The sequence below is a fragment of the Homo sapiens genome, chromosome X (genome assembly GCF_000001405.40).
Source record: "Homo sapiens chromosome X, GRCh38.p14 Primary Assembly".
Lineage (NCBI taxonomy): Eukaryota > Metazoa > Chordata > Mammalia > Primates > Hominidae > Homo > Homo sapiens.
In genome coordinates this window covers 77,948,216-77,976,208 of record NC_000023.11, presented here as the reverse complement: position 1 = coordinate 77,976,208, position 27,993 = coordinate 77,948,216, and the positions used below count along the sequence as shown (strand labels likewise).

General features: G+C 38.6%; 2 protein-coding genes, 1 long non-coding RNA gene and 1 pseudogene across 5 annotated transcripts in view; 1 reads left to right on the top strand and 3 right to left on the bottom strand.

Annotated features, from left to right (window-relative positions):
* The window catches only part of ATP7A (ATPase copper transporting alpha), a 139,703-nt gene that overhangs the window by 74,187 nt on the left and 37,523 nt on the right, over positions 1–27,993 (bottom strand). For all 3 annotated transcript variants that reach the window (NR_104109.2, NM_000052.7, NM_001282224.2), the window contains exon 2: positions 4,448–4,588. Coding sequence is in view for 2 of the 3 variants with exons in the window: in NM_000052.7 (NP_000043.4) it covers positions 4,448–4,567 (120 nt within the window). In the remaining variant the exon portion in view is untranslated. The remainder of the gene's footprint in view (positions 1–4,447; positions 4,589–27,993) is intronic.
* LOC124905201 (uncharacterized) lies at positions 258–1,771 on the bottom strand. The gene is made up of 2 exons (XR_007068274.1): positions 1,401–1,771; positions 258–698 (listed from the first exon to the last, which is right to left on the bottom strand). It is a non-coding gene; the product is annotated as an uncharacterized LOC124905201 (long non-coding RNA).
* Positions 6,571–8,260, top strand: PGAM4 (phosphoglycerate mutase family member 4). Its single transcript, NM_001029891.3, has one exon. It carries the CDS (start codon positions 6,571–6,573, stop codon positions 7,333–7,335), a length of 765 nt encoding a protein of 254 aa, NP_001025062.1. The 3' UTR covers positions 7,336–8,260.
* On the bottom strand, positions 10,995–13,668 carry C4orf46P2 (C4orf46 pseudogene 2; annotated as a pseudogene).

Here is a 27,993-nt window from a genome sequence, read left to right as displayed (position 1 = left end):
TAGAAAGAATCCATCTTGTCCCTAATTTTGAATTTTGTGCTAAATCTGATGTCCAGTTGGACAAAGCTTTCATTATGATATTAACATCTGCTCCTGGTAGTATGTCAAAAAATGTATTGCATGTGGATCTCAACTAGTCATAGGAAAACCATTCTGGTAGTGATGCAAGCTGATCAAATTCCAAAGTGGCATTAACTTCCCGCCATTACTGTAATGAACATTGCATAAAAGCAAAATTACAGAGAACCTCCAGCAAATAGAATTACCACCAATATAAGGTTGTTTTAATGATAAGATAACATTAAAATGATAAGTATATTACACAAATGAGAATACAACTCAGCTAAAATGACATATCCATTACTGACTCATTAAGGCCTGGCAGTAAAAATAAACATGTTTAAGGGTAAGCAATTCAGGCTGGGCGTGGTGGCTCATGCCTGTAATCCCAATACTGTGGGAGGCCGAGGCGGGCGGATCACCTGAGGTCAGGAGTTCCAGGCCAGCCTGGCCAACATGGTGAAACCCCGTTTCTACTAAAAGTACAAAAAATTACCCAGGAATGGTGACGTGCACCTGTAGTCCCAGCTACTTGGGAGGCTGAGTCATGATAATTGCTTGAACCCAGGAGCCAGAGGTTGCAGTGAGCTGAGATGGCACCACTGCACTCCAGCCTGGGCGACAGAGTGAGATTCCATCTAAAAAAAAAAAAAAAAAAAAAAAAAAAGTAAGCATAATATTTAAGCAAAGCTTCTGTATGTTATTGTCAATACAGTAGGAATCCTCAAGCTTTTGGCATGAGATATTGTTAATTCTTTGGATCCTGAGATACAAGTTGGAGAGAAATGAGAAAAAAATATGTTCAAAAACAAACTAAATAAAGCATGGGAAAGAGTACTGAAATTATATACACTACAATTAGTGCTGAGAATTGCGAAGAGTGACAAGGGAAAGGGGCGGGCAGGGGTGGTGGCAGGGGGTGGCCAAAAGGCTTAGAAATGGCAACTGGTATGGAGATATACTAGGAAGTTCCAATCCACTAGTCAGAGACATCTACCTTAACAGAATACAATAGGCAGGAAGGCCTGGACCAACTCTTAGAATCATCAGCAAAACACATTATAAAATTCAACTGATGAGAATGGCATGCAAATAAATAGCAAGGATTTTTCTAGGTGATGGGTATAGGGTAGATTCTTGTACTATTAATAGTTGCTAGATGACGAGTTAGTGGGTGCAGCGCACCAGCACGGCACATGTATACATATGTAACTAACCTGCACAATGTGCACATGTACCCTAAAACTTAAAGTATAATAAAAAAAAATAGTTTCTCCACCTTTGTGTATGTTTGAAATTTTTAATGGAAAGTAAGTCTTCTTGGACCAAGTGAGGCTTACCCTGGGAATGCATGGCTGGCTCAACATTTGAAAATCAATCAGTGTAATTCACCATCTTAACAGACTAAAGGAGAAAAACCATATGATCATCTCTATATGCAGAAAAAGCACTTGACAAAATTCAACATCCATTCATGATGTTTAAAAAAACCCTCAGCAAACTAGTAATAGAAATAACTTAATTAATCTGATAAATAGTATTTACAAAACTCTACAACTAACACAATGCTAACTGTAAATGACTGAATGTTTCCCCCAACCATCGTTCACTCTCACCACTCCCAATCAAAATTGTAATGAAGGTTTGATAATACAAGGGAAAAAAAAAAGATATACAGACTACAAAGGAATAAATAAAACTATGTGGCCAGGTGCAGTGGCTCACACCTGCAATCCCAGCACTTTAAGAGGCCGAGGTGGACGGATCACTCAAGGTCTGGAGTTCAAGACCACCCTGGCCAACACGGCGAAACCCCAACTCTACTAAAAATACAAAAATTAGCCAGGTGTGGTGGCATGTGCCTGTAATCCCAGCTACTTGGGTGACTGAGGCATGAGAATTGCTTGAACCCAGGAGGTGGACGTTGCAGTGAGCCAACATTGTGCCACTGTACTCCAGCCTGGGTCACAGAGTGAGACTATCTTAAAAAAAAAAAAAAACTATATACCTTGATGACATAATTACATAGAAAATCCCAAGAAATGTACAAAAAAGCTAATAGGTTTGATAAGTCAGTTTGGCTACGTTCCAGGATACAAAGTCAACATATAAAAACCTCATAATGAACACCTGAAATTAAACTTAAATTTAAAATTTAAAAACAGTACCATTTATAACAGCATTCAAAAACATAAAGTACTTAAATATAAATCTAACAAAATATGTACAGAAACTGCATGCTGAAAACTATTGATTCCTGATAAAAGAAATCAAAGAATACCAACATAAATAGACATATACTATGTGCATGGATTGGAAAACTCAATATTGGTAAGATGTTACTTCTGTCCAAATGGATCTGTAGAATCAACACAATCTCAACGAAAATCCCAGCAGATATTTTTGTAGAAACTTATAAACTGATTCTAAAATTTATATGGAAAGTAAAAGGGCCTAGACTAACCAAAACAATTTTGAAAAAGAAGAAATTCAATAACAACAAAACAAAAAACCCAACTAAAAATTTGGCCAAAGGGTTTAACACACATTTCACCAAAGAAGGTATACAAATGCCTAATAAACACATGAAAAGATGCTCAATATCATTAGCCATTAAGGAAATGAGAATTAGTGATGTAATATTACACACCCATTAGAATGTCTATAATTTAAAAGACTGACAATACAAATTGTTGGAGGGAATGTGGAGAAAATGGAACACTTTCAAAGTGGAACACAAACACTGCTGGTGGGAAGATAAAATGGTATTTCCACTGTGGTAAATCATTTGGCAGTGTATCACTTACCAATGAGGACACCACGTATGGGCTCTGTCACAACTATTCAACTCTCTTGTAGTGAAAAAAGGGCTGTACACAATACGTAAATGAATGAGTGTGGCTGTGTTCTAATAAAACTGTATATTACTAAAACTTTACTTACAGACACAAAAATTTGAATTTCATGTGCTTTTCATAAGTTCCTAAATATTTTTTTAATTTTTTTCAATGGTGTAAAAATGTAAAAGGCATTCTTAGCTTATGAGCCATATGAAAGCAGTTGGCAAACTGGGTTTGGCCTGCAGATCACCATTTTCCAATCCCTGCCATATATGCATGAAGTTTCTTATGATAACCACAGGTACTTCATGCAGTATTCAGAAGGCTTTTTTATAACCTGAACTACATCTTTAACCACAGTATATCTAGAATGCTGTTGATGCTCAAGTAATGTTAAACAACAATAGAGTCTTCAACTTAAAGCCCTAGAGTCTGAAAAACAAACAAACAAAAAACCAATAATAGAGTCTTCCTTAGGCATATCATACAAGGTGTACTAGTAATTTTGGCTGGGCATGGTGGCTCACACCTGTAATCCCCGCACTCTGGGAGGCCCAGGTGGGAGGATCACTTGAGTCCAGGAGTTTGAGATCAGCCTGGACAACATAGTGAGACCCCCATCGCTACAAAAAATAAATTAAAAAATTAGCTGGCATGCAGCCGGGCACAGTGGCTCATGCCTGTAATCCCAACAGTTTGGAAGGCTGAGGTGGGCAGATCACCTGAGGTCAGGAGTTCAAGACCAGCCTGACCAACATGGAGAAACCCTGTCTCTACTAAAAATACAAAATTAGCTGGGAGTGATGGCGCATGCCTGTAATCCCAGCTACTCGGAAGGCTGAGGCAGGAGAATTGCTTGAACCGGGAGGTGGAGGTTGTGGTGAGCTGAGATCGTGCCACTGCACTCCAGCCTGGGCAGCAAGAGCAAAACTCCATCTTAAAAAAAAAAAATTAGCTAGCATGGTGGTGCACGCCTGTGGTCCTAGGTACTTGGGAGGCCGAGATGGGAGGATTGCTTGAGCCTGGGAAATCTAGGCTGCAGTGAGCTGTGATTTTGCCACTGCAATGCAGCCTGGGTGACAGAGCAAGACCCTGTCTGAAAAAAAAACTAAAAATAAAAACCAAAGTATACTAGTAATTCTCTAGACATTTTCCCTTCAAGTTTTAATTGCAAAATAATCACCATGTTATAAAAGAAAAAGAAAACCCTAACCCATCCCCTGAAAACATACATTTTAGTTCAGTATGAGATTCAGAGTAATAAACAGTATATAAATACTCATATACTTATAAAATATAAATCTATAAATATACAACCACAATATCAAGATTCCATGTTCAGATGTTTTTAAATTGAAAATATATCTTTTTTCTTTATGAGAGGAATTAATGGGTCAAAGAAAACTTATTTAGCTTCAAGATAAGAAGTACAATAGTTTTTATTGCCAAATGTGTCAGTGTGTCTGCTTCTATCTCATTGTTAGAAGTAATTTCTAGTAGAATTCTCTTCAATGGCATTTGACTTCAGTTTCCAAAGAGTAACTTACCTTAATGTGATGCACACCATTCACTTTTCCAATCTGCTGCTCAATGGTCCAAACACAGGAATTGCAAGTCATACCCTCAACAGAAATGGTAACAGAATTCACACCCATACTTGGATCCATTTTGATTTCCTCATTACATTCCTGTTAGAAACAATAAATTCATTAATTTCAGCCATGCAAATAATCTTTCCTCAACTTTTCCCCCACCTCCCCAATTAAAAATATGCTACATTTTATATATGCTCAAGTGTCATGTTTAAAAAATTAAAATGTGCTAGTAATAAAATATGGTAAGCATTCTTCCTGCTTAGAAAAAAAATTCTTATCACCTTAGATGAAGTAAAGGAAAGTTGTTTCTATGGATATGCTAACTAAAAATAAAAATTTCAATACTTTAATACAAGTAACTAGCTTTCATAGAGTGCTTTCCTGATTACTAATGTTTCCCATACATAATCTCATTTAACATTTGTAAGTACGAATTAAGAACTAATCAAAAATGCCTCAAATCCTTACAACAGCCAACAAGGTCCCACATGATTTCCCATGCCTGTCCCCCTCAAGTTTACCTGGCCTCCTCTTCTACCACTCACCAAACCCTTCTCTGTGCCAGTCATACTGGCCTCCTGGCTGTTACGCATGCAAGGATGACTCCTACTTCAAGGCCTTATTTTAGCTATTCTCTTGCTTTGGGACTTTCTTCTTCCAGATAACTGCTTGGCTAACTTCTTTGTCTCCAAGTCTTTGTTCAAATCTAACCTTAATGAGGACTATGCTGACCACCCTATTTAAAACTGCAACCTACATCCCTTCCACACAAACATACTCTGATTCCCCTTACCTCTGCTTTTTCTTTTGTTTTCATAGAACGTACCACCTTCTAACATACTCCATAACTTGCTGATTTATTCTGTTTATTGCTTATTGTCTGCCTTCCTGTGGTGGTTTTAAAATACGCCCACAAATTCTTTGCTACTCCTTCCTTCAAGAGGTGGAATTTAATCCTTTCCCCTTCGGTGTGGCCTGAACTTAATGACTTGTTTCTTGTTTTTTGTTGTTGTTGTTGTTTTGGTTTTTGTTTTTGTTTTTGTTTTTGAGACTCAATTCTGTCTCGCAGGCTGGAGTGCTGTGGCACGATCTCAGTTCACTGCAACTTCCGCCTCCCGGGTTGAAGTGATTCTCCTGCATCAGCCTCCCCAGTACCTGAGATTACGGGCGCATGCCACCACACCCGGCTAATTTTTTGTATTTTAAGTAGAGACAAGGTTTCACCATGTTGACTAGGCTGGTCTCGAACACCTGACCTCAAGTGATCCACCCGCCTCGCCCTCCCAAAGTGCTGGGATTACAGGCATGAGCCACCACACCTGGCCTAATGACTTGTTTCTAATGAATAGACTACGGTAGAAGCGACAAGGTGTGACTTCCAAGACTAGGTCATAAAAAACATTGCAAGAGGAGAAAAAAGCATTGTGTTTTCCTTGTTGTCCTCTCTCCTGAATCACGCAATCTGGGGGAAGCCACCTACCAAGTATGAAGACATACAAGCAGCCTTATGGAGAGGTTCATATGGTGAGGAACTGAGGCCTCATGTCAAAAACCAGCAAAGACCTAAGGCCTCCCGCCAATAGCCAGGTAAGTGAACCACCTTGGAAACTGCTCCTTCAGACCTAAGTTAAGCCTTTAAACTACTACATCCCCAGACACCATATTGACTACAACTTCATGAGACACCCTGAGCCAGAACTACCCATCTAAGCTGCTCCCAAATTATTGAGTCATAGGAAATGTGAGATAATAAATGTTTGTTGCTTTAAGCCACTAAATTTTGGGGTTATTTGTTACACTGCAATAATTAAGTAATACACTTCCCACTAGAATAAAAACTCCATGAAGATAGGACTCTGTTTTTTCACTGATATTAGGCTGAACCACATGAAATCATCATAGTCAAACACCGGCAATTTCATATAAATCAATCTAATATATCCCATGGAAACAGTGGTTCCTCTGGTGAGGGGAAATGAGTGGTTAGGGAATAAGGGTGGGAAAAAGAATTTTCAGCGTATAACCTTTTGTACCTTTTACTTCAAATGGTATAAAAAGTATTGCAGCCCACCGCCATGGCCGCCTACAAACTGGTGCTGATCCGGCACGGCGAGAGCACATGGAACCTGGAGAACCGCTTCAGCTGCTGGTACGACGCCGATCTGAGCCCGGCGGGCCACGAGGAGGCGAAGCGCGGCGGGCAGGCGCTACGAGATGCTGGCTATGAGTTTGACATCTGCCTCACCTCAGTGCAGAAGAGAGTGATCCGGACCCTCTGGACAGTGCTAGATGCCATTGATCAGATGTGGCTGCCAGTGGTGAGGACTTGGCGCCTCAATGAGCGGCACTATGGGGGTCTAACCGGTCTCAATAAAGCAGAAACTGCTGCAAAGCATGGTGAGGCCCAGGTGAAGATCTGGAGGCGCTCCTATGATGTCCCACCACCTCCGATGGAGCCCGACCATCCTTTCTACAGCAACATCAGTAAGGATCGCAGGTATGCAGACCTCACAGAAGATCAGCTACCCTCCTATGAGAGTCCGAAGGATACTATTGCCAGAGCTCTGCCCTTCTGGAATGAAGAAATAGTTCCCCAGATCAAGGAGGGGAAACGTGTACTGATTGCAGCCCATGGCAACAGCCTCCAGGGCATTGCCAAGCATGTGGAGGGTCTCTCTGAAGAGGCTATCATGGAGCTGAACCTGCCGACTGGTATTCCCATCGTCTATGAATTGGACAAGAACTTGAAGCCTATCAAGCCCATGCAGTTTCTGGGGGATGAAGAGACGGTGTGCAAAGCCATAGAAGCTGTGGCTGCCCAGGGCAAGGCCAAGAAGTGAAGGCCAGCGGGGAGGATACTGTCCCCAGGAGCACCCTCCCTGCTGGTCTTGTCCCTCTGCCCCTCCCACCTGCACATGTCACACTGACCACATCTGTAGACATCTTGAGTTGTAGCTGCAGATGGGGACCAGTGGCTCCCATTTTCATTTTAGCCATTTTGTCGCCTGCACCCACTCCCTTCATACAATCTAGTCAGAATAGCAGTTCTAGAGCACAGGTTCTCAGTCTAAGCTGTGGAAAAGCTCCCCTTATCCAACAGAGTTTAAAAGTAGTGACTTGGGTTTTTGTGAGTGCTTTGTTTACTAAGGACTTTGGGGAGGAACATGCTAAGCCACGACCAATGAGGAGAAGCAACAGAGCCTGTCTGTCCCCATGAGCAGAGTCTGTCCTCTGCTCTTCTGCAGTCAGGCCACTGCCTGGGGGCTCTAGTCATTCCAGTGGAAGATGAATGTAATCTGCATGGTGATGTGACAACTGTTTCCTCCTTGACCCCAGAGGATCTGGCTCTAGGTTGGGATCAATCCTGAATTTCGTTATGTGTTATATTTACTTTTATTAAAAAAGTATAGTATATATTAATAATACAAAACAATAACCCTTCTGGGGTTTCTTGTGGCGGTTGAAATAGTCCCACATGTGGTCATCAGAAAATAAGCCATTCCTCATACCAATATAGGATCAGCTCCTTGACCTCTGAGGGGCAGGAGTGCTTCCTGGTGTGTGTATTAGAATCCCTTCCTGCCTTGTTTCATGGCAGTGAAATGCCTCTTGGTCCTGTCCAAGTGTGTCTTTCACTGATTTCTGAATCATGTTCTAGTTGCTTGACCCTGCCACATGGGCCCAGTGTTCATCTGAGCATAACTGTACTAAATCCTTTTACCAGATCAGTATAATAAAGGAGTGATGTGCAATTAAAAAAAAAAAGTATTACAACATCATTTTAGTTTTGGTGAGCTCAGAGAAACTTAAGCAGAAAATGCTGAACCATGCCCGCTGCTACTAACAAAGCAAGATGATTAATGGACTCTTGTAACTTCTCCAACTAATTTCTGTGGAGCTTTGAACAATTAGACCACCCAGTCTATGGTATTATGTTATGGAAGCCTGAACTAAGACATATGCATTCTTTTTTAAATTGGGATATAATTCACATGCTATAAAATTCAGCCTTTTAACCTACAGAATGGGAGAAAACATTTTGCAATCTACCCATCTGACAAAGGTCTAATATCCAGAATCTACAAGGAACTTAAACAATTTACAAGAAAAAAACAACCCCATCAAAAAGTGGGCAAAGGATATGAATAGACATTTCTCAAAAGAAGACATTTATGCGGCCAACAAACATATGAAAAAAAGCTCAACATCACAGATCATCAGAGAAATGCAAATCAAAACCACAATGAGATACCATCTCACACCAGTCAGAATAGCAATTATTAAAAACTCAGGAAACAATAGATGCTGGTGAGGCTGTGGGGAAATAGGAACGCTTTTACACTGTTGGTGGGAATGTGAATTAGTTCAACTATTGTGGAAGACAGTATGGCGATTCCTCGAGGATCTAGAACCAGAAATACCATTTGACCCAGCAACCCCATTACTGGGTACATACCCAGAGGAATATAAATCATTCTACTATAAAGACACATGCACACGTATGTTTACTGCAGCACTATTTACAATAGCAAAGACTTGGAACCAACCCAAATGCCCATCAATGATAGACTGGAGAAAGAAAATGTGGTACATATACACCATGGAATACTATGCAGCCATACAAAGGAATGAGATCATGTCCTTTGCAGGGATATGAATGAAGCTGGAAACCATCATCCTCAGCAGACTAACACAGGAACAGAGAACCAAATGCTGCATGTTCTTGTTCATAAATGGGAGTTGAACAATGAGAACACATGGACACAGGGAGGGGAACATCACACACCGGAGCCTGCTGGGGGGTGAGGGGTGAGGGGAGGAAACTTAAAGGATGGGTCAATAGATGCAGCAAACCACCATAGCACACATGTACCTACGTAACAAACCTGCACGTTCTGCACATCTATCCTGGTTTTTTTTAGAAGAAATGAAAAAAATTCAGCCTTTTAAGGTATCCAGTTCAGTACTTTTTAGTACATTCACAAGGATGTGCAACCATAATGACTATGTAGTTGCAAAACATTTTCATTACTCCAAAAAGAAATCCCATGTCCATTAGCAACACTCCCCATTTCCTCTCTACTCACAGCCCCTGGCAAACACTAATTTTATTTCCTATCTCTACGGATTTGCCTATACGGCCATTTCATATAAATTGATTCATTCAATATGTGTCCTTGTGTGTCTGGATTCTTTCACTTAGCATAATGTTTTCAAGGTACATTGATGTGTAAAATGTATCGGTATTCCATTCTTTTCACTTTCTTGATGGTGTCCATTGAATCACAAAAGCTTTTAATTTGTGAAGTCCAATTTATCTTTTTTCTTTTGTGTTTTTTGTGTCATATCTAAGAAACCATTGCCACATTCAAACTTACGAATATTTACTGCTATGTTTTCTTCTAAGAGTTTTTGTAGTTTTGGCTCTTATATTTAGGTCTTTAATCCATTTTGAGTTAATTGTTGTACATGGTGTATGGTAAGGATCTGACATACATTGTTTTACATGTGGATGTCCTGTTTTCCCAACACCAGTTTTAAAACATTCTTGAGATGTAGTTCACGTATTATATAATTCGCACATTTAAAGTGTAGAATTCAATAGTTGTTAGCATATTCACAGACATGTGCAACCATCACCACAGGCAATTTCAGAACATTTTCATCACCTAAAAACAACAACAACAACAACAAAACATACCCCTTACCTATCAGTCATCACCTCCTAAGCCTTCTGTCCTGGGCAACCACTAATCTACTTTGCTTGTATAGATTTTCCTCTTCTGGACATTTCAGATGAATGAAATCATGTAATATGTGGTCTTTTGTGACTGACTTCTTTCATGTAGCATGTTTTCAGTGTTCATCCATGTTACAGCACATATCAGTACATCATTCCCTTTTATGGCTGAATAATATTCCACTGCATAGATACACCATAATTTATCTATTTGTCAGTTGATGAACATTTGGGTTGTTTCCATCTTTTGGCTATTATGAATAATGCTGCTATAAACATTCATGTACAAACTTTTGTGTTTTCATTTCTCTTTGGTAATACCTAAGAGTAGACTTGCTGGGTCATATAATAACTCTATGTTTAATTGTTTGAGGATCTGCCAGACTGTTTTCCAAAGTGACTGTACCATTTATACTCCCATGAGCAGTATATAAGGGCCCCAATTGTTCCACCTCCGATACCTATTATCTTTTTTATTCTACCCATCCTAGCAGGTGTGAAGTGGTATCTCATTGTGGTTTTGATTCACATTTCTCTGATTACTGATGATGTCAAGCATCTTTTCATGTGCTTATTGGGTATTTGTATATCTTCGAAGAAATGTCTATTCAAGCACTCTACCCAATTTTTAATAAGGTTATTTTGTTGTTGTTGTTGAGTTGTAAGAGTTCTTTATATTCTTGGATATTAATCCCTTATCAGATATATGACTTTCAAATACTTTCTCCTATCCAGTTGGTTGTCTTTCACTCTTTTTTTTTGAAATAAAATTTGCTTTTAATAAAAATTTATTTTGTACATTTTTAAAATTGCAATTTTCAGGACATGTAAGAAAAATATTTTTCCTCATACTGAAATAAGCATATCTTTGGTATAGAAATCACACCCTGTGTGTGATCTTTTAACTTAAAAAAAAAAAAGTCCAGTGCTTTTACATTGTTGGCGGGAGTGTAAATTAGTTCAACCATTGTGGAAGACAGTGTGATGATTCCTCAAGGATCTAGAACTAGAAATACCATTTGACCCAGTAATCCCATTACAGGATATATACCCGAAGGATTATAAATCATTCTACTATAAAGACACATGCACATGTATGTTTATTGAGGCACTATTCACAATAGCAAAGACTTGGAACCAACCTAAATGTCCATCAATAACAGACTGGATAAAGAAAATGTGGCACATATACACCATGGAATACTCCGCAGCCATAAAAAAGGATGAGTTCATGTCCTTTGCAGGGACATGGATGAAGCTGGAAACAATAATTCTCAGCAAACTATCACATGAACAGAAAACCAAACACTGCATGTTCTCACTCGTAAGTGGGATTTGAACAATGAGAACACACAGACATAAGGAGGGAAGCATCACACACTGGGGCCTGTCGGGGGGTGGGGATTAGGCGAGGGATAACATTAGGAGAAATACCTAATGTAGGTGATGGGTTGATGGGTGCAGCAAACCACCATGGCACGTGTATACCTATGTAACAAAACTGCATGTTCTGCACATGTACCCCAGAACTTAAAGTATAAAAAAAAAAGTCCAGAACTAGACCTAATATGCTAAACAAAACTATTCTTTGGCCATCCATCTGCAGCCTTTCAATGCACCATTGTGGAGCTTCAGAATATCATTCTGTACACATCACCATATCTACAAAGAATTAAGATGTCATATCAAAGATATCCAGAAGTTATATATGGTACAGAATTAGTTGGCTTAATCATTCACACATAATACAAACTACCAAAAAGCGACATAAGATACAGAACAAATAAAATAGGACATTGTCACTAAGGTCAAATAATATAAAAACAATCATGTTATTTAAATTTGATGTATTGGAAGCAAAGTAACTTAGAGTTATGTAAATAACTTGTAAAGCTCCAAAATTCATAGTACAGAGCCATAAATCTGATAAGGCACTTTAAAGACAGCAATCAAACATATAAAAATACCGAAAACAAAAAATATTAAGTGTAAAAGCAGTAACCATAGAAATAAATAGGAAAAAAAATTCGTTCTTTCTAGACAGTCTTTCATTTTCTGAAATAAAGACTTCTTAGCTGGGTGCAGTGGCTCACGCCTGTAATCCCAGCACTTTGGGAGGCCGAGGCGGGTGGATCACTTGAGGTCAGGAGTTCGAGACCAGCCTGGTCAATATGGTGAAACCTTGTCTCTACTAAAAATACAAAAAATTAGCCGGGTATGGTGGCACACGCCTGTAATCCCAGCTACTAGGGAGGCTGAGGCAGGAGAATCACTTGAACCCAGGAGGCAGAGATTGCAGTGAGCCAAGATCGCACCACTGCACTCCAGCCTGGGAGACAGAATGAGACTCTGTCTCAAAAAAAAAAGACTTTTTAAAATAATCATTTGAGGACAAAAGTATTTATCATGTTTTTAAAAGCTATCATCAAAGTTAAAATCTCTGTGAAAAAGATAACATTTTCCTTCAAGTCAACAAAGTCCTGATTCATACATTTTTAGAGAAACAATTATAGTCTTCCTGCTAAATACAGGAAGAAAAAATAGCTTTGTATTATGTTAATCAACTCTTCTTTTCAATAAACATTTAGTGAATGCTATGTGACACTGTTTTAGGTGCTGGGGATATCGAAGTAAGTAAGACAATCATTTGCCTAGAGAACTCAGCCTAATGGAGCTGGAACCTTAAAGTTATCTCCCTTGGTCCATAAGATGAAGCTCAACTTCTAATTCTGCCATGCTTGGCATCTTACTGCAAAACAAATAATGGTCCACTTAGTTTGCTACTGGTAGCACTGTGGCACAATTAATATTAACTATCTACTGATAAAATTAAATTTTGTAAAGGATTTTATGAAAGTTTGAAGGGCAGAAAGTGTAAGAATAAACAAGTACTGATCAACATCAAAAATAGAATCAGTATTCTGCTTTTACAAAGGTCAAGAAAACCAAGAAAAACTTCATTCTGAAGATATAGAGAACTGCTAGATATTATCCTATATATGTGGCACATGTGAAATGATCATATATGAGGAAGTATGAATTATTACACAGTCACTATCAAAGAGCTAAGTATGCCAAATCAATTGTCAGGTTTCCAAGAATCACAGCATTCTTTCAAGAGGTCCCGTCATGTTTTAAGGAAACGTGCATTTTCCGTACATTTGACGGCAAGCTCTTCCACTTGAGCTGATACTGTAGATATGGCTTCAAGAAGTTTGGTTGACGAAAATGCTGTGTCTCTGATCTGCAGCCCCACTTCCTCCAGCAGGTCTACTGTTCCGCTGCTGCTCCTGCTCAAAACGGGCCGGCCTAAACTCACAGCAATGCCCAGGGAAGATGCTGAAGAAGGGTCTGAAAATGAGGGAGAAGAGAGAGGAAGTAGGGCTGTGAAGAAACTCATAACACCTCAGGGTCAGCCACAGGGAAGGGCTGGTGTTAACAGTGGAGGGTGTCCAGGTTCTTGGCGTCTTAAACAAAGAATTGGACAAAACGCACAAACAAAGCAAGGAAGGAATGGAGGGATTTGTTGAAAATGAAAGTACACTCCACAGTATGGGAGCAGGCCTGAGCACAGGGGCTCAAAAGGCCCTCTTACAGAGTTTTTTTGAGTTTAAATACCCTCTACTTGGAGTACACCCTATGTAAAAGGAGAGGATGAAGTAAAGTTACAAAATCATTTACTTGGCCTATGCTCTATGAGAGGATATTTCCTGTCATAGCTGAAGTGTGAATCAGCCTTATGTTCCTGCCTCTAGACCCTATTTTCCAGCCTCACTGGGACGGCAGAATCCGACCAGAGCAGCCAAACCATCTTTCAACCGCTTGTACCCAAATCCTCCATTCTCTTGATAGTGTCCTTTTGTGTACAAGTTTTCAAGTCTGAAGAAGTCCAATTTTACTATTCAGGACCCTCACAAGGTTCACACATTGCATTTGGTTTTATGTCTCTTTTGTCTCATTTAATCTAGAATAGCTCCTTCCATATCTCTTTTCCCCCATGAAGTGACTTTTTGAAGGTCAGTTGTCTTAACATCCAGTGTATCTTCTTTTTAAAATATAAACTCTTTTTTGATAATCAGGGGGGTGATAGTTGGAATTATATCTCTTAATACCTACATAAGGTCAGTTACTACAAGAGAACAAAAGCCCAGATAGGACAGGAAAGGCAAGTTTGGGAGCAAAGGACAAATAGGATGAGTTCAGGTGGCGAGTCCAGGATGGAGTACTTAAGGCAAGCATGAAGGTATTAGGAGCCCAGGAGGAGTCAGTGGGAAGCAGTACAAGGGTATAAAAATGGAAGTAGAAGAATGTCTAAAACAAACAGATCCTATCAAAATTTTATCTAAGGATAGTCCTGAGCCTAAAAAAGGAAACTCTTCCTTATTCTTCTTATAGCTTTGGCTGTCTACCTCCAGAACACAGAACTCAGACTTGCTCCTGTATCTTATGGGTCAAATGGGGCTTTTGAGGGCTGATCTTGCAAGATTACCAAAGTTGACTAAATCGTTTTATGGGAAAACATCAAATTCAACAAACAGAATTGGCAACAAACTTTTAGAATACAATACCTTTGGTAGGTGAAGGCTAGTTTACCTGTTTAGGAATGTAAGACTGAAATACAGTTTTATCATGGGGTATGTCCCAGACCAAAGCACTGGACTAACTCTCAGGCTTACTGAGGAACTGAGAGAGATCAGTCAGGCAGAAAGGCACTGGATAATTCACCCAGGAAGTAAGTATTGAGGAGTCCACAATGTGTGAGCACAAACAAAAATTATACTAATTAAGCCACTTTTCCCACTACATCTTAATTTAAGTCATATCAATTCTGAATACATATTTCTTTCGCTTTCGTAATTCACCTGCATTGTTTTTTTTTCAAAACTCTACTTAAATTGGACTTTACACATGAAACCTTGGAGGAATTCCATCTCACTCTCACTACTTTATTACATATACACACAACTCTAATTGACTTTGTTATATATGTTATGTCCATCGTTTTCATTTTAAATCTTAAAGGTAGGTACAAAACCAGGAATATCTTTTGTAACATCCTACTGCATTTAGCAAAATGACTCAGAAAACAGAGTAAGATCATAAACAGTTTCATATAGTATGGAAAAAACATGTAGGCTTCTGGGAAACGACAGTATCAAAGAGACAAATTTGGCATCCAGCTGTTAGTGATGAGTGACTCTGAGAACAAAAGCATCCAACAACACTGAGGGAAATAACTTCAAGTTATTAATATATTTTGAGCCATTCCCTAAGTAGAGATGGTAATCACCATCAGTAATATCATTTTCTAAGATGAAGAACAATATTATGACTAGATGATCATCTCTGGTTTGGAAATAGAAACTACAGAAATTGAGTAGAAAACATGGCACATATGAAGTCTGATTGTTCAAAACCACTTCTTAAAGCTGGTCACAGAAGCTCAAACATCATTCTAAAATTCCCCTAAAATAATCAGCACTTATAATTTGGGAAAGGCTCCTGTATTCTCAATAATCATGCAGTAAGATTTAATTCTTTTTTGGGGTTTTGTTTTGTTTTGTTTTGCTGTTGCTTTTGTTTTTGTTTCTTGAGACAGAATCTTGCTCTGTCGCTCAGGCGGGAGTGCAGTGGAGCAGTCTCAGCTCACTGCAACCTCCACCTCCCAGGTTCAAGTGATTCTCCTGCCTCAGCCTCCTGAGTAGCTGGGACTAAAAGCACATGCCACCAGGCCCCAGGTAATTTTTGTATTTTTAGTAGATATGGGGTTTCACCATGTTGGCCAGGCTGATCTCGAACTCCTGACCTCAAGTGGTCCACCCGCCTCAACCTCCCAAAGTGCTGGGATTACAGGCATGAGCCACCACGCCCAGCCTTAATCCTTTTTTGGATACAACTCTATCTGCACAATTTGTGATCCTTGTGGTAATCAAGGAATATAATGTACCTCCATCAGGTAGATAAAAATCTCAAAATCTGACAATACCAAGTGTCGGTGAGGATATGGAGAAACAGGATCTCTCTTGTTCCGTTGGTTAGAGTATAAATTAGTACAATTATGGAAACTGCTTCATGATAGCCGGTAGAGTTGAAAATATGCATATATTAAAACTCAACATTTTCTCTCCTAAGCATAGTACCTTAGACAGAGTCTCACACATGTGCACAAGGAAACAAGAACAAAAATGCTCATTGCAACAATGTTGCTAATAGTTAAAACTTTGGAAATAATCTAGATGTCCATCAACAAGGAAATGAAAAAATTGGTTGTGGTATATTTATAATGAAACATAATATAGAAGTTAAAATGAATGAACTAGAAATGTGATTCTCACTGAGAGAAGGGGTGATGTCACCACCAATAGGACATTTCAAAATGTCTGGAGACACTTTTGGTTGTCACAACTCAGAGTGCAGCAAGGGAGTACTACTGGCATCTAGTGCATAGAGGCCATGGATACTGCCAATTATCCTGTAATGGACAAGAAAGCCCCTCACAACAAAGAATGATCTGGCCCCAAATGTCTATAGCACTGAGAATGAGAAAGCTTGAAGTAGAGCTGCAAGTAGCAACAGGGATAAATCCCATTAACATAGTTTAGAAAAAAAAGTTTCAGAAGAAAGTCAGATTGTCCCTGTTTGCAGGTGGCATGATCTTATATACAGAAAACCCTAAAGAATCTACTAAAAAACAGAACTAAAAAATAAATTCAGTAAGTCACAGGATACAAAATCAACTTATTAAAATCAGTAGTGTTTCTATATGCTAATAGCAAACCACCTGAAAAAAAAATTCCATTTACAATTGCTACATAAAAAAAAGATACTTAGGAATAAACTTAACCAAGGAGGTGAAAGATCTCTACACTAAAAGCTATAAAGCACTGGCTGGGTGCGTTGGCTCACACCTGTAATCCCAGCACCTTGGGAGGCTGAGGGGAGCAGATCACCCGAGGTCAGGAGTTCGAGACCAGCCTGGCCAACATGGAGAAACCCTATCGCTACTAAAAATACAAAATTAGCTGAGTGTGATGGTGCACACCTGTAATCCTAGCTACTTGGGAGGCTGAGGCAGGAGAATCACTTGAACCCTGGAGGCAGAGGTTGCAGTGAGCTGAGATCATGCCATTGCATTCCAGCCTGGGTGACAGAGTGAGACTCTGTCTCCAAAAAAAAAAAAAAAAAAAACTATAAAACATTGATGAAAGAAATTGAAGAAGACATAAACAAATGAAAAGCTATCCCATGTTCATGGATTGGAAGAATTAATATTGTTAAAATGGCCATACTACCCAAAGCAATCTATAGACTTAATGCAATCCCTATAAAAATATCAATGACAGTCTTCACATAGGAAAAAACTACCCTAAAATTCATATGGAATGACAAAAGTCCCCAGATAGCCAAAGCAATCTGAAGCAAAAAGAACAAGGCTGGAGGCATCACACTACCTGACTTGAAAATATACTACAAGGCTATAGTAATCAAAGCAGCATAGTATTGGTATAAAAACAGGCACATACACAATGGAACAGAATAGAGCCCTAAAATAAATTCATGCACCTACAGCCATCTGATTTTCAAAAAAAGGTGCTAAGAACACTGTTAGTCCATTTTTGCATCACTATAAGGAAATACCTGAGACTGGGCAATTTATAAAGAAAAGAGAATTTATTTGGGCTCATGGTTGTACAGGCTATACAGAAGCATGATGCTGGCATTTGCTTCTTGTGAGGGCCTCAGGAAGCTTACAATTATGGCAGAAAGCGAAGGTATGCCAGCATGTCACATGGCAAGAGAATGAGCAAGAGAGACAGGGGGAGGTACCAGAATCTTTTAAACAACCAGATTTCTCCTTCCTGTAAGAGATGGTGAAAAACAAACTAACAAACAAACAAAAACAAACAAAAAAAACCCCCCACCATATCTTGCTTATCACCAAGGAGATGGTGCCAAACCCGTCATGAAGGATCTTCCCCTATGATCCAATCGCCTCCCACAAGTCCCACCTCCAACACTGGGAATCACATTTCAACATGAGATTTGGAAAGGACAAACATCCAAACCATAACAAACACACACTGCTCTCTTCAATAAGTGGTGCTGAGAAAACTGAATAGCCACATGCAGAAAAATGAGACTAGACCCCTACCTCTCATCATATACAAAAATCTACTCAAAATGGATTAAATGCTTAAATATAAAATCTGAAACTATGAAACTACTAAAAAAAAACATGCAGGAAATGCTTTACAGCACTGGGCTTAGCAAGGAAGTTTTGAGTGGACCTCAAAAGCACAGACAACAAAAGCAAAAGTAGACAAATGAGATTACATAAAACTGAAAAGCTTTTACACAGCAAAGGAAACAATTAACAAAGTAAAGAGACAATCTACAGAATGGGAGAAAATATTTACAAACTATACATTTATCAAGGGGTTAATATCCAGAATATATAAAGAACTTAACAACCACAAAATAAGACTCGTCATTTGGTCATTTTTTAGTCAGGTTATTTTGTGGTCATTAAGTTCTTTATATATTCTGGATATTAACCCCTTGATAAATGTATAGTTTGTAAATATTTTCTCCCATTCTGTAGATTGTCTCTTTACTTTGTTAATTGTTTCCAATGACGAGTTAATGGGTGCAGCACACCAACATGGCACATGTATACATATGTAACAAACCTGCACGTTGTGCACATGTACCCTAAAACTTAAAGTATGATAATAATAAATTTTTTTAAAAATGACCAAAAGACTTTAATAGACATTTCTCAAAAGAAGACATACAAATACCCAACAAGCACATGAAAAAACACTCAACATCACTAATTGTGTTAGGCTGCTCTTATATTGCTATAAAGAAATACCTGGCCAGGCACAGTGGCTCACACCTGTAATCCCACCACTTTGGGATGCCAAAGCAGGCAGAATGCTTGAGCCCTGGAGTTTGAGACAAGCCTGGGCAACATGGCAAAACTCAGTCTCTACAAAAAATACAAAAATTAGCCAGGTGTAGTGGCACACACCTGTATTCCCAGCTACCTGGGGGCTGAGGTGGGAGGATCACGTAAGCCCAGGAGGTCAAGGCTGTAGTGAGCTGTGACTGGGCCACTGCACTCCAGACTAGGTGAAAGAGCAAGACCCTGTGTCAGTTAAAAAAAAAAAAAAGAAAGAAAGAGAAAGAAAGAAAGAAAGAAAGAAAGAAAGAAAGAAAGAAAGAAAGAAAGAAAGAAAGAAAGGAGACTGGGTAATTGATAAAGAAAAAAGGTTTAATTGACTCACAGTTCTGCAGGCTGTACAAGTATGGTGTCAGTATCTGCTCAGCTTCCAGTGAAGCCTCAAGGAGCTTTTGTTCATGGTGGAAGGTGATGTGGGAGCAAGAGAGACAGAATGGGAGGTGCCACACACTTTTAAACAACCAGATCTCATGTGAACTCACTCATCACCAAGGGGATAGTGCAAAGCCATTAATGAGGGATATGCCTCCATGTTCCAAACACTTCCCACTAGGCTCCACCTCCAACACTGGGGATTACATTTCAACATGAGATTTGGCCAGGACACAGATGCAATCCATACCACTGATCACCAGGAAAATGCAAATGAAAACCACAAGGAGATACCAACTCACTCCAGTTATTATCAAAATAACAAAAGAAAAGAGGGGTGGTGATGATATGGAGAAAAGGGAACCCTTATACACAGTTGGTGGGATTGTAAATTAGTATAGCCACTATGGGAAACAGTATGGTGATTCCTCAAAAAATTGAAAATTGAACTACCATATGATCCAGCAATCCCACTACTGGGTATTTATTCAAAGGAAATGAAATTGGTATGTTGAAGAGATTATCTGCATTGCCATGTTTATTGCAGCAGTATTTGCAATAGCCAAAATATGGAATCAATCCATGTCCGACAATGGATAAATGCATAAACAAAATGTGGTGTATATATATACATGGAATACTATTCAGCCATAAAAAAGAATAAAATTCTGCCATCTGTGACAACATGGATGGACCTGGAAGACATCATGTTAAGTGAAGTAAGCCAGACACAGAAAGACAAATACCACATGATCTTGCTCATGTGGAATTTCAAAAAAAAAAAAAAAATGGTTGATGTCATAGAGTAGAACAGTGGTTACCAGAGACTGGGGAGGGAAGGATGGAAAGAGTCTGGTAAATGGCTACAAGGTCACATTTAGATAGAAGGAATAAGTTCTGGTGTTTTTATTGCACAGTAGGTTGAGGATTGTTAACAGTAAGGTATTGTACATTACAAAATAGCTGGATGAGAGGCTTTTGAATGTTCTCATCACAAAGCACTGATAAATGTATGAGGTGATAGATATGCTAAATACCCTGATTTGATCATTGTACAACATGTAGATGTATCAAAACATCAAATTGTACCCCATAAATATGAATAATTATAATGTGCCACAAAATAATTTTAAAAACAAATGAACTAGAAGTATTTTTATGTATCAATATATGTTGATAAATAAATGCATGTTCTAAGAAAACAATGTTCTAAGAAAAATGTTCTAAGAAACATTGTTCTAAGAAAACAATGTTCTAAGAAAAATGCAAATGACAAAGTGATAGTTTGATACCATCTAATACATTTTAAAATATGCAAGACAAAAGAAAACAATGCTTATGAATAAAAAATAAAATAAAATGTTGATGTTATGTCCAAAAAAAGGATACAAAGGTTTAAAAACATAAAACAATGTTATACATTGTTTTTGTATGCACACATATATAGTTGTGATAGTAAAAATATAAAAATGTGCACAGACATGATAAACTCCAAATTCAACAGATTGAGGGGAGAGAGGGGAGAGGAGTGACTTGAGAGGAGCACAAAGGGGAAATGCAACTATATATTTAATGTTTAACTTCTTAGGCTGGGTAGTAAATACACAGGTATGTCATAGGACTACCTATACTCATTGTAGGCCTAAATTATTTCATCTCATAAAGCCAACTCATTTTAATGGGAAATGAAAAAGAAAAAAAATACAAAGTACGTAGAAATTAAGAGAAAAGTTACTGAAACTGAAATAATTCAATAAGTAAGACCAATGATAAATTCATATATATAAAAAGCCCAAATAACCCATTTTATTATACCAAGGCTATAAAAACGTGCTTATTTTATTAAATAAATAGATGATTTCTAGCTATGCAAATAACAATCAACTAGTTGCCTTCAAGGTATCTATATAGTATTTCCAGATCAATTAATTTTTTTCCTACCCATTCACTTTTATTTAAAATTGCTACCACATTCTAAAATGAAAACAAAAGGGGAAAGCATTAGCTTCTCTATTATTTTATATAATTCATCCTTTTCTTTTAAATTGTATAAACCTTTAAAATGAAAATTAATCTTATTACTTAACTTGTTTCCAAAATACTAAGTGTCTAATTTCTTTCATCAAACAACCAGTATTATATAAACAGAGGACTAAGATTCCAGATGAAACAACTGAAGTAGGCAGGTGTATGTTTGCCAGGCACAGTTGCTCACGCCTGTAATCCTAGAACTTTGGGAGGCCAAGGTGGGCAGATAATGAGGTCAGGAGTTCGAGACTAGCCTGGCCAATATGGTGAAATCCCGTCTCTACTAAAAATACAAAAATTAGCCGGGCATGGTGGCACACGCCTGCAATCCAGCTACTCGGAGAGTGAGGCAGAGGCAGAAGAATCGCTTGAACCCGGGAGGCAGAGGTTGCAGTGAGCTGAAATCACGCCACTGCACCCCAGCCTGGGTGACAGAGTGAGACTCCATCTCAGGAAAAAAAATAAAATAAATAACAGTTTTTTTTATTTGACCATTCCTAAAAGATTAGGTAGTAATACTTAAACACAGTAATAAGGTCAAAAAAGAACAGAACATTCAAATTAAAAGGCAATGTACTTCACTGGTCATTTTTGTGACTCCTAGAGTAGTCATAGCATCTCTACAAATAAGTTGTCCTATGATAACAATACAGATGCTTCAGATTCCTATAGCACTGCATGTGTCTCACACCAATCCTGCTACGTAAATAGAATCATAACCTCCTTTTAAAATTAAGGAAGCTAAAGCTGAGACTTGTCTATGTTCATACAGCCAATTCAGGCTGGAGTCCAAAGCTAACAATAACCTCAAAAGGATTAACTTAACAGGGCAATGTGTGCAAAAGTCATAAAGTAAAACCAGCCAAAGGTGAGAGTGGTGTGGAGAGAATGCTTGAAAAATACCAATACCCTGCAATAAACACAGGTAGAGACAGGTTCCCCAAAAGTGAGAAATATGCCTCAAGTATATATGTGCCTTTCCAACAGGGGCTAAGCAATTGCTGCCATGTCAATAATAGACAAAAGGTAGAAACATGTTTTTAGTGTGTGTGGAACTTTTCTTGCAAGGCAGCTATCATTATCTCAGGAAGGTAGGGGGAAGTAGAATTCAACTACTTGAAATTACAAATGAGTCAGCTACTTTTCAACAATGTTATGTGTTAAATATGGTCTTGGTGCAGGAATCTTTGAGTCTATGAAGGCTATTTGGTGATTGGAATGCCTCCTCTCCCTCATCAAAACAATCACCTGATTACACATGTAATACCCATGTAACAAACAAGCACATGTACCCCCGAATATAAAAATATTAAGAAAATTTATTTTTAAATCATCTGATTCAACTTGTCAGACACAATCTATGTCTAAATCAAGAACTGCCTGTAATGTTATTGCTTTCTTCTAAGACAAATTTACTTCTAAGACAAAATAGTGCCAAAACCAACAAATGCGAAAACATTAAATGCCTATGAAAACGAAAATAACTGTCAGTATTTAACCACTTATGTAGAATAAGTTGAAAAAACAGGCTAGACATGGTGGCTCACGCCTGTAATCCCAGCACTTTGGGAGGTCGAGATGGGCGGATTGCTTGAGCCCAGGAGTTCGAGACCAGCCTGGGAAACATAGTGAAACTGTGTCTCCACAAAAAATGCAAAAATTAGCTGACCACGGTGGCACACTCCTGTAGTCCCAGCTACTCAGGAGGCTTAGGTGGGAGGACGGCTTGAGCCCAGGAGGCAGAGGTTGCAATGAGCCAAGTTCATGCCACTGCACTCCAGCCTGGACAACAGAGCAAGACTATCAAAAAAAAAAAAAAGGAAAAAGAAAAAACACTTATTTTATATTTATCATAACTTGTTAAGAATAAACTACAAGAAAACAATAAAAGTTTGGTGAGGCTGAAAAGGACAACTCAGTTTGGCCAAACATTTCAAGTATACCATTAATTTTATAAAAGTCATTACTAAAAAATAATGATGCTAAATGCTAATTACCCAACCAGACATTAAAGAGTCTTTAAAAGTTTTAATTATTAAAAAGTCTTGTGCTAAGAAAACAACCTGATGTTATGGGCTAAGGACCTTAAAAGACAATTCACCAAAGAAGATATACAGATAATATATAAGCATATGAAAAGATGCCCCACATCATACGTCATCAGGGAAATGCAAATTAAAACAATGATGAGACACTACTACATATCTATTATTAGTAGAATGGCCAAAATCCAGAACACTGACAACACCAAATGCTAAAGAGGATGTGGAGCAATAGGAATGCTCATTTAATGCTAGTGGAAATGCAAAATAGTACAGCCACTTTGGAAGACAGTTGGGCAGTTACTTACAAAACTAAATATAATTTACCATACAATCCAGCAATTGCACTCCTTGGTATTTGCCCACAACAGTTGAAAACTTATGTCTACACCAAAACTGCACACAGATGTTTACAGCAACTTTATTCATAATTGCTGACACTTGGAAGCAACCAAGATACCCTTTAGTAGGTGAATGGATAAATAAACTGTGGTGCAGCAAGGCAATCAAATATTATTCAGCACACACATTAAAGATGAGCTATTCATAAAAAAACTTGGAGGAAACTTATATGTGCATTACTAAGTGAAAGAAGCCAATCTGAAAAGGCTACATACTGTACCTTCTGTTCAATTTTGCTGTGGACCTAAAATTACTCTAAAAAATTGTCTATTAAAAAAAGTATTGGCCAGGCACAGTGACTCACGCCTATAATCCCAGCACTTCGGGAGGCCAAGGCAGGCGGATCACCTGAGGTCAGGAGTTTGAGACCAGCCTGGCCAACATGGCGAAACCCGTCTCTACTAAAAAAATACAAAAATTAGCTGGGCATGGTGGTGCATGCTTGTAGTCCAAGCTACTTGGAAGGCTGAGGCAGGAGAATCACTTGAACCTGGGAGGCAGAGGGTGCAGTGAGCCAAGATTGCACCATGGCACTCCAGCCTGGGTGACAGAGCGAGACTCCATCTCAAAAAAAAAAAAAAAGGTCTTGTGCTGATGTCAGAATAGAAAGATCCTTGCAACAGAACAGAAAGTTCCAGAAACGTACATATGTGTGTATATAAGAATTCAGTATATAACAAGGGCAGCAATTCACATCACTGAGAAAATCAGTAAGTAGTGCTGGGATAATACGCTAACCATTTAATAATTGTGAACATTTTTAGAAACCATCTTACAATCTATAAATTAATTCCAAGTTAAAGAACAAGATGTAAAAATAAAAAGTAAAAAATACTAGGAAAATATAAAAATAAGCATTACCTAACAACAACAAAACATTGGGTGGGGAAAGCATTTCTAAGCATAAGCCAAAACAGAAACTGTAAAGGAAAAGAGATTAAAATGTAATTAAATGAAATTTTAAAATTTTGTGTGGCAAAAACCACCATGTAAACAAACTGCAAAAACATATACATGGAATTTCTTTTTGTATTAATAAAAATATTCTGTAATTAGATAGTGATGATAGTTGCACAAGTCTGTGAACATACTAGAAATCGCTGAATTTGACTTTTTTAAATTTTTTTTAATTTTTTTCTTTTTTGAGACAGAGTCTCACTCTGTTACCAGGCTGGAGTGCAGTGGCGTGATCTTGGCTCACTGCAACCTCCACCTCTCGGGTTCAAGTGATTCTCCTGCCTCAGCCTCCCAAGTAGCTGGGACTATATGTATGCGCCTCCACACCGGGCTAATTTTTGTATTTTTAGTAGAGACAGGGTTTCACCATGTTGGCCAGGATGGTCTCGATCTCCTGACCTTGTGATCTGCCTGCCTCGGCCTCCCAAAATGCTGGGATTACAGGCGTGAGCCACTGCGCCTGGACGACATTTTTTTATTAATGAATTTATGGTATGTTAAATTATATCTCAAAAAATATATATGCCAGACAATTGACAAAATAAGAAAACCAAAATGCCAATACACATGAAGTTACTGCACCTCACTAATAACTTTTAAAATCTAAATTAAAACAGCTAAAATTAAAAATTAAAATAATTAATTAAAACAGCTAAGATACCTCATTCCCCCAGTAGATTGCTCACATGTGTCCATTACTATGTGGCTTAAAACAGAACAAAACTGGAAACGATCTAAATTTTTTATAATAGGATATTAATTAAATAAACTCTAGTGCATCACAGTGTAACACTTGTCATATTTTTGGCTACCCAGCATTCAAACACACATCCCATGCCAAGAAAATGCCCCCACCGCAAGCGTCTTAGAAATAAACAGTACAACCCTGGCTCCCATTATTAAAGCCAAAGCATGTGTGTTGTGGGAGGAAGGGAGAAGGGAGGAGACAGATATTCCTTTTCCCTGTCCCCTTGAAGCTGAGATGCTTCTAAATGATTCTAGACTTGGCTAGTCAGACACTTCTGCCCAGGATTTTGAATCATGAGAAAGTGACATGAATACACAAGGACAGATGAAGATAATTCTCAGCACAGGCAGCAATACAGTCAAGATGCCAGAAGTGGCCCTGGCAAAAGTCCTGAGAAAGCCAGTGCCAGTGAAGAGGTCCTCACTAGACTTCCTGGGGCATGTCCTTGGCCTGTTTTAGTCTCATTGTGTTCCTACCTATTTTCCAAGCCTGGTTGACTCTGATTGACTTCTGTTGTCTCTATAAACAATCCAAATAGCCTAACCAATAAATTCCGTTTCTGGTTAAGCGAGTCAGAACTGCTTTATGTTGTCTTCAAGTAAGAACCCAGCCTAATGCATGTATAATAAATACCATGTGTCCCTTAAAAACAATGATGTAGATCTCTATTTTCATACAAGAAAAATGTTAGGATACATTAAGAAAAAGCAAATTTTACCCTGCAAAAATTTATCTTAACCAACCTCCAATGGGTTAACTGATGGTCTCTTTTCTATCACTAAAATATTCAGATGCCCATAGCATGCTTAGTACTTAGATGCACACTCCTTGTTCCCACCAGTAGAATTGTTGGCATATAGAAATTCAGCTGTGTTTGCCCTCAAGCTGTTTATGTCCACTGAACTTCTCATGGCCAAGTGATTTAATTAAATATTATGTACGTTGATTAAATAACAGCAAAAAGGAGAGTTGTTCTTTCTATGAAAACAAAGTTGAATGCATTAGGAATGTTCAATAAGGTGAGTAGCAAAGTTACTGCTAAAATAGCTGTACGTGAAGCGACTTTAAGAGATTGGGGGGTAATAATAAAAACCTAAAAGAACTCTCATCTCTTAAATTTGTTCTCTATTTTAATAAAACCAAACTAGGAGATAGAAATCTGGAATGAAGCATTATGGGTGTGGTTTATACAGGGAAGGAAAGGAAGAATTCCAAAGGACCCACATGCAAAGAAAAGGTTGTGGCCCTACATATAAATATTGGAGAATAAGGCCGGGCGCAGTGGCTCACGCCTGTAATCCTAGCATTTTGGGAGGCCAAGGTGGCAGACTGCCTGAGCTCAGGAGTTCGAAACCAGTCTGGGCAACACGGTGAACCCTGTCTCTATTAAAATACAAACAATGAGCTGAGTGTGGCGGCATGCGTCTGTGGTCCCAGCTACTCGGGAGGCTGAGGCAGAAGAATTGCTTGAACCCGGGAGGCGGAGGTTGCAGTGAGCCAAGATCACACCACTGTACTCCAGCCTGGGCGACAAAGCAAGACTCCGTCTCCAGAATAAAAATAAAAATAAAATAAATACAAATAAATATTGGAGAATAAATGAACATGTTTTAGGTTTAAAAAAATGACTAGGCTATATTTACATAATTTTTACGATTCCCTTCTTCAACTGACCGACCATGGTAGAGAGTTTCTACCATGTTTCCATTGTCTGTGAGGAAAGAGTCTGGACCATATCACAGAACAAAGAAGAAAAAACTACCGACGTCCACTTTGTTCTTCCCATCATTGCATTTTCCCCAGTGTTTGCCCTATAAAGCCATGGCTGCAATGTCCTATTATAAATGGATATGTCCATTAGGTTTTGCTGCTATTCTTTAAGTTGCTGCCATTCAGAATACTCAGTGGAAGTCAGAGATGATTTTCCTCACACACAGTTTTATACAACATTTGTCTTTTCTCTCAAAATATGTATGGGCTATAGCAAAATGACTATTTTCTGAGAAAGGCAGACACTTTTTTAAAAGACTTTTTAGCCAGGCGCGGTGGCTCACGCCTGTAATCCCAGCACTTTGGGAGGCCAAGGCAGGCGGATCACGAGGTCAGGAGATCGAGACCTTCCTGGCTAACACGGTGAAACCCCGTCTACTAAAAATACAAAAACATTAGCGGGGCGTAGTGATGGGCGCCTGTAGTTCCAGCCATTACAGGAGGCTGAGGCAGAAGAATGGCATGAACCTGGGA